Raw genomic sequence first — 12,384 nt, 5'->3', positions numbered from 1 at the left:
AGCAAAAGACAGACTAATAAGAGAAGAGCAGATGTATTTATTTAATGTAAGTTTTACATGACAGGAATGCCTTCCAAAGGAAATGAAGGCCCATGGAAACAGCTAAACCTCAGTTTTTTGTTTGTTTGTTTGTTTTTTAAGAGTAGTTTTATTGAAGAATGGATAGTCATGGAGAAGTATGATAAGACAATAAAAGTATGATCTAACAGTAACAAACTGGGGAAAACGGGGCCAGGCCTCTGTGTTCAGGCTCTTCTCTGTGTCCCTGTGTCTTCAGACTCCAGGATGCACCTTTCCTCTGGGTACAGAGAGGGAACATCTCACATAAGGGTCTATAATCGACTTCAGGAAAGAAGGGCAGGGGGAGGGTGACAGTGACCTTCCTGCTTCTATTGTTTATTCAAATTCCCTTAACATAAAATATTCAATACCCCAAGATGTTATATTTTGGGGTAGCATGTCCTGAACCCCATCATGCACATGCAACAAAACCAAGAATATTTGAAGAATGATGACTATAAAACATTTAAATTCAAAATACAATTGATGGCCAAGTGGGGTGGTTCACAGCTGTAATCCCAGCAGGGAGGAGCAGGAAGGCCCAGGCAGGCGGATCACTTGAGTCCAGGCATTCGAGAGCTGCCTGGACAATATGGCAAAAGGCAATCCTTACTAAAAATACAAAAATGAGCCCAGCACACGGTGCACACCTGTTGTTCCAGCTACTTTCAGGGGGTGGGGAACGGGCGGGCTGAGGATCAACTGAAACAATATCATATTTACAAATAACTTTTTTTCCTATAAGGCTAGTCAAGTGAAGCAGTGGAAGTGGAGAAGGAACAAAAAAATCTGTAACTGGTTGTGATCAATTATTTGTAAAGAGGGATGAATTTTTATGCACTATACACTGTTTTCAAAGTCACATATGCTGCAAAGCTGGTGGTGAACGGCAGTGCCCTGGTCCCTTCCTACACTTATCCGTAGGGATAACAATTTTTAATGAATGCAGCCAACCTCTACATAAATACTGTTACTCTTTGACTGTCCAATTTTCCATCCCAGGCCCTGCAGTCCAGCCTGCAAGGGGAAACGGAGTTTGTGTTTCCTTACCTGCCAGTCCACTCCAAGGAGCCAAGAAGGCATCCTCTCCCACTCCCGCATCCTCCAAACTTAGCCCCTCAAAGACTGCAGCGTTTTTCAGTCCTTCTTAAACGCTCTCAGCCCCAAAATATGAAAATCAGAGGGATGGTCTTGAGCGCCTGGAGCGACATGTTAGTTTGCTCCCAAGACCCATCAGGAACCTTATCCCAGGTGCTCTGAAGAGCAGGAGAAAACATTGTTTAAATCTGGTAACGTCCTAAGGGGTCTTCTCCTTGGGGCAGGGTCCTGGCAGGACGAGGGGGAGCCCCACCGTCAGAGACTCGCCCCTCAGAGCTGCTCAGGTTCCTCTTCCCCGTGGCCCTGAGGGAGATCGGCCAGGGCGACAGAGGATCAGGACGGGGCCTCCCAGCACCCGAGCTAGAAGAGGCCGCCGCGCGGATTTCTCTTTCTGGCTGAGATCTTGGGACGAACGAATAGATTTCTCGGAGTCAGGTTCCGAAGCTTAGTGAAACGGCGACTTTTAGGACCGGCAATGGAGACGCAGGAGCTAGAAATTCGGCATAAAGATCTGAATATGAAGAACAGAGCAAATTAACATTCGGAATAGGATGGGCCATCTGAATAAAACAGTGCTACTCCCAAGTTAGGTCTCAAACCATCGATCGTAAACTGAGACACAATTTCCAATGACTGAGCTAACCCCATCAAATTTTCTCACGCCATTTACTTACCAAAATGACAATGGATGCCATTACGAGATTTCCCGAGTGAAAGGAATCTCGGGGTCTAGGATTGAAGGGCGGCAGCCTTTTTAGTGTAGGAGACCTCTCACCCCGAGGCCCAGGTCGCCCTTAGAGGGGGTGGGGACTTGCTGGGTCGCTGGGTCCCTGGCGGGGGTGTCCAGGCCTCCGATAGCACGGGGCCAGGAGGCTCGCCCAGGAAGGGGACCCTGCAGGCTCGGTGATCCCAACTGGATGATTTCGCAATTTCCCTATGATCCGGGCCACTGTGATAACCTGGTTTCTGGGACCCGGAACATCGAAGAGGGAGACGAAGAGGGGACGAACAGCGCGGGGGACATCGCGGGGTTCAGACAGCGGGAGTAGAAGGGACACGGAGGCCCGCAGCGCAGAGCTTCTGAAGAACGTCAGCGGAATCCCCATTCCATTTAGGGAGTAAAAGACGGCATTATCGTCCCAGTTACACAGAAAGGTTCCACAGAGACTCGAACTCAGATGGCTGGATTCAGAGTCCAGAGTGCTTACCATTACACCATGGAACCTCACAATGCAAGTTTTCTGCAGGTGTGTGGATTCCTAATAAGTATCAATAGTTCCCACCCACCCATGTCAAGGCATTTCTTTTGATCCCACAAGCAATACCTGAGGAAGGTGGACCTGCAGGAAGGACCCAGCCCTCTTGCTTTCTCTCTGCCCTCTCCTTTGATCGACTTCTATCATTTCATGTGCACCTCGGAAAATAAGGCAAAATCCACTGTGGATTTAGGGCCAGAGAAGAGCCCTTGAAGCCTCGGTCACAGAGGCTTCAGGACCGACACAGTCTGGGTCCTGTTTTGAGGTGAAATTCATTCCTTCCTTCCTTCCTTCCTTCCTTCCTTCCTTCCTTCCTTCCTTCCTTCCTTCCTTCTTTCCTTTCCCTCCCTCCCTTTCTTTTTCTTTGTTTCTTTCTTTGTCTCTCTTTCTGTCTTTCTTTCTTTCTTTTCTTCCTTAAATCTCTCTCTCTCTCTCTCTCTCTCTTCTCTCTCTCTCTCTCTCTTCTTTCTTCCTTCCTTCCTTCTCTTTCTTTCTTTTCATCTTTCTTTTCATTGAGATAGAGTCTCCTTCTGTTGCTCAGGCTGGAGTGCAGTGCAGTGGCAGTGGGCAATCTCCCCTCACTGCAACCTCCATCTGTCGGGTTCAAGTGATTGTAATCCCCAGTGGCTGGGATTACAAGTGTGGGCCACCATGTCCAGCTAATTTTTGTATGTTTACTAGAGATGAGGTTTCGCCATGTTGGCCAGGCTGGTTTTGAACTCTTGACCTCAAGTGATTTGCCTGCCTTGGCCTCCCGAAGTGCTCAGATTACAGGTGTGAGCCACCGCACCCAGCCCGGAGATGAAATATCTGCAAAATTTCTGTTATTTTCTTGATGCTTTCCCTCTTTTCCATTTGCCCAAGGAGGCCAGATGATTGTCAAAACAGGACATGGGACTTCCTGGGCACTTTGCCCCCTTCCTCCCTGTAGCATATAATAGAAGACAGCAATCAAGTGAGATTGGGAAGCAGGGAATCCTTTATTTTTTTATTCATATTCTTCTATGTTTCGTTGGTTGGTTGGTTTTAACAAAATTTTCTCACCAGAAATGGAGATTTGTTGGATTTAAAATAAAAGAAATCAGCCATGTTTACATTTCTATAAAACACTCAAACCAGGCCATACTCTCCTACTATGACTCAAAATCAGCCATATACTGTCGAGGTCAGGAGCAGGGCCCTGATATTGAAGCACAGTGTATTTTCTCAGAATTGGCCAAGTTGATACCATTACAATTTGTCAATATATCATGACCCATTAATTACAGTCTTTAAAAGTGTACATGTATTGCTACTGAAAGCCCGGGAGTTCGGTCTAGGCCCTGCTACTCAGCTCACAGAAAGCCAATCACTGAGACATTGAGTATTGCTGAGGAAGAAGGCTTTAATTGGGTGCTGCAGCTGAGGAGATGGAAGATCAGTTTCAAATCAATCTCCCTGATCAACTAAAGTGAGGGGTTTATGTAGCAGGGAAGAAATGTTAACTGTGGGTGGGAAAAGAGGAACTAGGGAAGGGTGAGGAAGCACTCATGATGAGTGAGGGGTCTGGCATCTCATTGTCTGGAGGCTGTCATCTGCTGAGTTTCAGGTCTGTGATGCTTTTTGAGAGGCCTGAGAGGCCTTTGCTGAGGAAGGAACTCAGATAAAACAAATGTCCTAAGTTTCAAGCTTTAAGACCAGAAGGGTCCATTTCTATGTCTATCCAAAAACACTGTCTGTGGGACTCTTGGGTTGATTTCAGTCCCCACTTTCTATTTGTCAGTTCCTCAATCATGGGGAATCTGATCATCCATCTTTCTGGCTGCATCATGTGGAGGAGGGGCATCCTGAGCAGCTCCACACCATGGGTGACTGCATGGCCACCCAGGAATCAAACATTCATCTAATACTGTAGTTTCTCCTGAAACACAATCTTCCTCTCTCCAGTCCCTCACTTCCACTAAAGACAAAACACAGCAGGACCAACCTACCTGCAAAAGAAGCTTCAGTCCCATATACTTGGCCTGATTACCCACACAAAGTGCAGCAAGAATCCTTGTTCATATAGGCTCTCCTAAATAGGCTTTGCTGGAATATTTCACAACACCATTTCAGGCAAAGCCCTGGGAAAATTACCAGTTCCTCCACTTGTGTCCCATTATAAAAGAAAACAGAATCTTATTGAACTCATGCAAACAAACACATTGTCATGAGTTAAGAATATTCAGTTTACAAATTCTGTAGAAATTCGTCAGAGAGAGAACAATATGCCTCAAATTCTATTTAGAAGACGATTCTACTCAATTGTTGCAGTCTATAAATAGCTCAAAAGGAAACAAGTTCTCCAGACTCTGAAGAATCAACAATGTTTGAAACAAACAAAGGCCATAAAAACTTATTTCAGTCCTCTATTAGTTCAATCCATGCAATCAACTCCTGCTCTGCGTCACATTGGGGTAGCAATCTCTATGAACACATCCGTCTTTCTATTAGTGCCCTGGAAATTTTCTCTTTACTTCAGTGGCACAATCTCCAAAGTTATCAGAAGAGTCCTGCATCCAAGAGTCCTTTTCATGGACTTCCCCAAAGAAGAAAGGCCTGGACTGTAACTGATTATAAGTCACTTTTTAAGAAGAATCAAAGCAAAACAACAATTGTGGATGACAAAAGCCTTAAGACAGCCATAGTTATAGATACAATTGACAAGGGAATTCTGTTGTTTCTGTGGCACACAACAATTTAACATAATAATCATAATTATTACTGACAGCATAGCAGAACTCTAGGAATCTCATACAATCCTGGAACACACATTAACAACACATCTGTGTCAATAGAACCCAAAGGAAGTGAAACACCACCTCAGATTTGACAATGCTCCTTGCATAATTCTACATAACAAATAAGTCTAAGAAGCCTAATATATCTCTCTTGGACTTCAAGAACCTAATATCCAAAAAGTTAATTTGAGGCCCAAAGGGTTGAATTTAGAAACTTTACTCTTAGAAAGTTTGCCAGATATCAAAGTTTTGAGACACTTGACATCACAAAATAGGATCACAGGTCACCTTAGTATAGTCAATCATTTAGCCAAAATGATAAAACAAAAATGTTCACCCTTTGCTAGAAAAGAGGCTGAGTTTTCTAAACAGTAAGAGCTAATGAAGACAACATGAGGCCATGTGTATGTGTCTCTCCCCTTCCTTCTTTTGCCCTGCAGTTTACTTTGAAAGTAAACAAAAATATTTTATCTATTATTAATACTACACAAACATTTTGATCAAAAGAGAAAACCAAATTTTACCTTTGTGTGGTGTATTAAAATGTTAAAGCTAATTTTAATAAAACCTTATACACAAGTTTAATTATAATCAGTTTGACCAGAGCTCGGATTTTAAGGCAGTAGCTTGCCGATGCTCCCAGCTGAATAAAGCCCTTCCTTCTACAACTCCGTGTCTGAGAGGTTTTGTTTGTGACTCATCCTGCTACCTTTCTTGGTTCCCTGACTGGGAAGCGAGGTGACTGACAGACTGCCAAGGCAGCCCCTTAGGCGGCTTAAGCCTGCGCTGTGCAGCGTCTCTGCGGGAGACTTCGGCCAGCCTGAGTGACATGATCCAAAGAGCGCTTCGGGGTAGGCAATTGCCCCGGTGGAACGCCTTGCCAGAGCAATGCATAGCAGGCCCCCGCGGAGGATTAACACAGTGGCTGAACACCGGGAAGGAACTGGCACTTGGAGTCCGGACATCTGAAACTTGGTAAGACTAGTCTTTGGAACTTGCCCACTCCATTTGAGTGGAACCACGGCGTGCCTTTATTAGCAGTTTGGTTTTGGTTTTGACTTGGTTTGAATTGCTTGACAGGACTAGTCTTGGGAACTTGCCCATTCCATCTGAGTAGAAGCGTGGCCTGATCACCCACAGCGTGCCTTTATTGGCACTTTGGATTTGGTTTTGACTTGGTTTAAATTGCTTGACAGGACTGGTCTTGGGAACTTGCCTACTCCATTTGAGTGGAAGCGTGGCCTGATCACCCACAATGTGCCTGTACCGGCACTTTGGTTTTTGTTTTTGACTTGACTTAGATTGCCTGATACTTCGGTTTTGGTTTTGACCTGGCTTGGATTTCTGGATACTCTGATTTTGGTTTTGATTTTGGTTTGGTGTAAACTGCAGAAGTGTGTGTGTGCCCTTTTTACCTGTTTTTTGTTTTGTGGTGTGTGGCGTGTGGTGTGAGCGTGGTGTTTTGTCTTGAAGAAACATGGGTCAGGCACAAATAAGCCCCCCCCACTAGGAACTATGTTAAAAAATTTCAAGAAAGGATTCAATGGAGACTATGGAGTCACTATGACTCCAGAAAAACTTAGAACTTTATGTGAAATAGACTGGCCAGCATTAGATGTAGGTTGGCCATCAGAAGGAAGCCTGGACAGGTCCCTTGTTTCAAAGGTATGGCATAAGGTAACCTCTAAGCCAAGGCACCCAGACCAGTTTCCGTACATGGACAGTTACAGCTGGTTTTAGACCCCCTTTCCCTGCCCGCAGTAGTTAAGAGAACAGCAGCATAAGCAGCTGGCAGAGGCAAGTAAAGACCATCAGAGAGAAAAAGAGGCCATCTATACCAATTCTAAGTTAATTTAGACTAAACAAGGTCTTATTAATAGCAAAGGACAATTGAAATCCCAAACTTACAAGGTTTTCTACAAAAGTGAAGTTTGCTAAAAGTTAACAGTGTAACATGTATTATGGTAACTTCTAATCTTGTGGCCTTAGACAGTCTATCCAAAGACATAAAGAAAGTTCACTTTAAAAAAGGAAAAAAAAGGAGGAAGCAGAATTTATACAAACAAAAAGTTATGTGGTAAATTCTTGTCCTGAAATAAATTAACTGGTTGTTTAAAGAAAAAAGTGTTTGTAATAAGTCAGAAAGTTGAGACATGTTGAAAAATTGTCTGTGGAAGTCGTGAAAGAAAAAAAGTTATAAAAAAATTTTATGCAAACAAAGTTGTATAATTTAAAAGTAATAAGGCCTCCTGAGTACTATTAAAGAAACAGTTTATGTGCAAGGTGTATAAGAAAACTAAAATATACCTTTGGTAAAAAGATTATAAGGAGGCATTAAAAAAAAAAGTCAGTTTGACCATGAGGTAAGAGTTCCAAAAACCTTTCATAACCTTTTATACTTTTGTATTAAGGAGTAGATAAATGCTCTAGAAGACCCTGATATTGCAATACACGAGCCCAGATGTTGGCCTTGCATCAGTGTGCTCCTGACTGTAATGTCTAATTTATAGAAAATCTCTGAATTTGAGAGGCCAGAGTGTGTGGATCACTTGAACTTAGGAGTTTGAGTCTAGCCTGGGCAATATGGTGAAACATTGTGTCTACCAAAAATACAAAAAAAAAAAAAAAAAAAAAAAAAAAAGAAAGAAAGAAGAAAGAAAAGAAAAGAAAGAAAGGGAAAGAAAAGAAAGTCTCTGAACTAAACTTATCCCTCAAACTCCAGCCTACAATTCTCACGTGCCCACCTCTTCTGTCTAGAGGAAGAGGGGGCATGAGGTGGAAAACGGGACATGTGGGATTGTTGGGCCTAAAGGGATTGAATGGTTTCAATTTCTGGTTCTGTGTCTTGTGAAAGCAGTTCATTTTGTTTGTCATCTTCCCCAGAGTCTGAAGACAAGGCATTAATTGGTGTCAATATTCAGGATTTAGAAGGAGAAGCTGCCTTTTTCAGACCCAGGAGACAAAGCCCTGTAAGCTAATAGCATAAGGATTAGTTAATAGGACATTTGTACTGCAGAAAGTTCTATTTCTCTCTAACGTGTCACCGATAAAAACACTATGATCTGCTGTCCAGTAGTTACTGCCTGCAGCACTTCAAACCATCGTATTAAAGTGGTTAGGATACTCCTTGCATGTAACTAATTGCCAGCATTCTAATGACAGAACTGTGACCGAAAGCATCAAAAATGTGACAGAACCTATGCCAAACTTTTCAAAGTAAGACAATTAAATTTTCTCTCCATCATTTAACAAAATACTAAATGCAAATATCAGTTTTGGAAATTCAGTATGAGGATAAATAATCTCCTTTTATTTAAATATTATACAACAAAACAAGAACAAAGTGAGAATAAACACACAGTCAGTTTTTTTTTGGCTATTTTATTTATTTATTTATTTTGAGACAGAATCTCCCTCTGTCACCCAGGTTGGGGTACAGTGGCAGGATCTCAGCTCACTGCAACCTCTGCCTTCAAGTTCCAGGTTCAAAGGATTCTCCTGCCTCAGCCTCCTGAGTAACTGGAATTACAGCTGTGTACCACCATGCCCAGCTGATTTTTGTGTTTTTAGTAAAGATGTTTTGCCATGTTGGCCAGGCCTTGAACTCCTGTCCTTCAGTGATCTGCCTGACTCAGCCTCCCAAAGTGCTGAAATTATAAGAATGAGCCACCACACCCATCTTTCTTTTCAGCTATTTTAAAAGAGCATAATCACATATTTCCAAGGTTGGTTTCTCGATGTGGTACTCATAACTGATTAGGTTGCTTTCACCATTAAAATCTTCAAACCAGTGCAACAATTTACATGTTTTGTTTTCAAGTACACACATGAAAGCCCAACAGTGATACAAGGCTTGGTATCAAAAATCACTAGAAATTCTCACAGCTTGTTTTTATTACCACTTCATCCAAGTGAATGTCACTTAATTTTAATAATGCTAAACACAACTGAAGGAGGTTGAGAGAAATCCAATCAACATAATATCCTTAAGGACAAGGCCAATCTTTCTGGATGTTGGAACTTTGTACCCACATCACAGTTTTTCCTCATTAAAGGAAAGGGTCTGCAACCAACTCAAATGATTGATTGCAAGTCTTCCCTTGTCCAGTATAGACAGCTTTTGTGTCTAACTCTACCTCAGCAGCTGGCCTATACCTGGGGCCAGCTATAGGCCAGGGTTGGAAGGGTTCCTTGCTCCAACATCAGTGGTAGATGCCTTTTGTTTCATGTGAGAGAAGCAACCAGATTTTGTGCCTGTACTCTAGTGGTGGCCAATCATGACCTATATGCCTCCACCACTGTGGCAAGCTCAAGAAACTCTCTTTCCCTGCCACATGTGTCTTTTCAGCACTTAGGATGTGAGAGGAAAGACCCAGCAAATGGGCAAAAACCATGCTATGTATCTGGAACTCTCAGACTAAGCTGTCACAATAGTTCACACTTGGCCTTTAAGAAACGATAAAAACTTCAGTGTTTGGTTTCCTGTTTCTGCATTAGCTTGCTAAGATAATGTGCACTGCTTTTGACCTGGCGCAGTCATTCACATGTCTGATCTCAGCACTTTGGGAGGCGGAGGTGGGTGGATCATGAGGTCAAGAGTTCGAGACCAGCCTGGCCAGTAAGGTGAAACCCTGTCTCTACTAAAAATACAAAAATTAGCTGGGCATGGTGGCTTGTGACTGTAGTCCCAGCAACTCAGGAGGCTGAGGCAGAAGAATCACTTGAACGTAGGAGGTAGAGGTTGCAGTGAGCTGAAAACGTGCCACTGCACTCCAGCCTGGTGACAGAGCTAGACTGCATCTCAAAAAAAAATTATATATATATGTATATATATATACATATATATACATATATACATATATATACATATATACATATATATACACATATATACATATATATAATAATGTGCACTTCTTTGAATATTTTACCCTTTTCTGCCCATTAAACCATTAGAGCTGGCATTTCCTTTTCTATCCCATCTGAGAGACTTAAGTGCATTGTAATTTGCAGCAATTAGTATTATATTGGAGATGACGTCTCATTCCCACCACCTCATTGTATGATTTCTGCGTTTTTGCTTTGTTTATAAAATCTCTTCCTGCCTTTCTTAACTAGACTGGTCTGTCTGGGTAAATTTTCTGTTTTTCTGTAGTGTTTTTGAAATCCATGTCCCTGATTAGTTAATATGTTTTCTTAGATCTCAGGTGCACAGGGAGAAGGTAATCATGTACCTTAGCTCAGGGCACATTATGGTGGCTGCTTTGAGCAAGGCCCTTACTGTCTTTCCTTCTTTTCTCTGTTTATCCCACTCCCATTTCCCTGTCCACTTCCAGAAACACGTTCTGAGGAGTTTAGTATATGCTCTTTTATCTCACACTTTCTCTGCATATTTCAATAAGGAGATGTCTTCAGAAAACATACATTGTTCTTTGGGGATGGAGGATGTTAAAACAACTTTAAAGTGTGAATTGGTTTCCAAAAACCCATTCCATCCTCTTTACTCCATTCTGTGTACTATCTTCTCAACTTTTCTATTCAAATAGAAAAGTTTGTGTATAAATGTGGGGAGGAAGAAAAGAGTCAAGCCAATGTAAAATGGGCAAAACACTTGAACAGTGTTTGTTTACCAAAGAGAATTTCTTAATGGCCAAATTGCATAAGAAAGGATTCTTGGCATTATTACTCATTCAGGAAACACAAATTTAAAATGCCATGATACTCCATAACACACTCATCAGAATGGGTAACATTTAAGAGACAGGGAAAGCCACTGGCTTATAAAAATGCAGAGCAACTGTAACTCTTGTTGCTGGCAAGAGAATGCAATAGTATTGGTGGGAGTGGTGGCTCACGCCTGAGATCCCAGCACTTTGGGAGGCCGAGCTAGGTGGATCACTTGAGGTCAGGAGTTTGAGATCAGCCTGGCCAATGTGGTGCAACCCCATCTCTACTAAAAATACAAAAATTAGCTGGGCGTGGTGACAGGCACCTGTAATCCCAGTTACTTGGGAGGTTGAGGTTGAAGTAGGAGAATTGCTTGAACCCGGGAGGCAGAGGTTGTAGTGAGCAGAGATTGTACAATTGCACTCCAGCCTGGGTGACAAAGTGAGACCGTCTCAAAAATAAAATAAAATAAAACAAAACAAAATAAAAGAGAATACAATAGTGCCACCATTCTAAAATACTGTCTGATAGTTTCTAATACAGTTAAAAATACACCCACTTCATGACCCAGCCATTCCATTGCTGGGTTCATGCTCAACAGAATTGAAGGCACAGGCCCATAAAGAGACCCATAATAGAATATTTGTAAACACCTTATTCACAATAGCCCAAACTAGAAATATCCCAATTGTCTATCAACTGTAGTATACTCACATGTTGGAATAACACTCATTAATAACAGCAAAGAGCTGAGATACATGTCATAAAATGGAAGCATCTCATAACAATTGTTGCATTTAAAAAAAGAAAAACACAGGCAAAATCAGTATAGTCCTTTACGTGATTTCTACAAGAAGTAAAAGTATACCACAGAGATAGAAATCAAATAGTGATTGCCTAAGTGGGGATGGGGTGAAGATTGACTGAAAAGGGGTTCTCACGACCTTTTGGTCTGTTGAAAATGTGCTGTAACTTGATCTAGGTGATGGTTTTTTTTGTCAAAATGTACTGGGCCACGCACTTAAGATTGGTGCACTTTGGTCTCTGCGGATTATACTTCAGTCATTTATTGGTAGCAAAAAATAAATAAATAAAAACAAAATTAAAAATTGGGGTTGGAGAATGTCATTAACTTTAGATTTTACTGTATTCGTTAGGTTTTACTTAAAATACCCAGTTGGAGTGTGAACTCTCATCTTCTCTTGTTCATTTCTGATTTGGCCTGAAAAGGCCCCACGGATTCTTGAAATATCTGAGTCAGAACAGCGGGTACAGCCATATCATGTCAACAGTAAAAGATTCCAATAAGGCTGACTGAGAGGGGGCATCTCATCTTTTGGGTGTTGTACTTGCTCAGAGAGGAGGCAAAAGTCTTTCAAGATAACCGGACCCCTAGGCATGCAGCGTAGGGGTTCCTTCTATTCTCAACACTACCGGGAGTTCCTAAGCCACAGGAAAGTTGTGACCTTTCTAGCCGCAGGTCAGAGGCTCAGCCTAGGCTGAGACTGGAGGCGAAAGGGAAAGAAGAGCACTACACCCTAGAA

General features: G+C 42.2%; 1 long non-coding RNA gene and 1 other non-coding gene across 2 annotated transcripts, besides 1 other annotated feature; both read right to left on the bottom strand.

Moving 5' to 3' along the window:
• Positions 1 to 22: 22 nt before the first annotated feature.
• LOC124904403 (uncharacterized) lies at positions 23 to 2,373 on the bottom strand. Its single transcript, XR_007066575.1, has 2 exons — positions 1,833 to 2,373; positions 23 to 1,669 (listed from the first exon to the last, which is right to left on the bottom strand). It is a non-coding gene; the product is annotated as an uncharacterized LOC124904403 (long non-coding RNA).
• On the bottom strand, positions 2,312 to 2,383 carry TRQ-CTG7-1 (tRNA-Gln (anticodon CTG) 7-1). The gene has a single exon. It is a non-coding gene; the product is annotated as a tRNA-Gln (tRNA).
• Positions 12,136 to 12,185: an enhancer, noted in NCBI's record as "active region_1640". NCBI's record gives its function as "activates an Ori minimal core promoter by ATAC-STARR-seq in GM12878 lymphoblastoid cells {active_cell/tissue: GM12878}" and the evidence as "EXISTENCE:reporter gene assay evidence [ECO:0000049][PMID:35858748]".

This window comes from Homo sapiens, chromosome 1 (assembly GCF_000001405.40).
Source record: "Homo sapiens chromosome 1, GRCh38.p14 Primary Assembly".
Lineage (NCBI taxonomy): Eukaryota > Metazoa > Chordata > Mammalia > Primates > Hominidae > Homo > Homo sapiens.
Note: the sequence above shows the minus strand (reverse complement) of the source record. Positions and strands in the feature narration are given on the sequence as shown.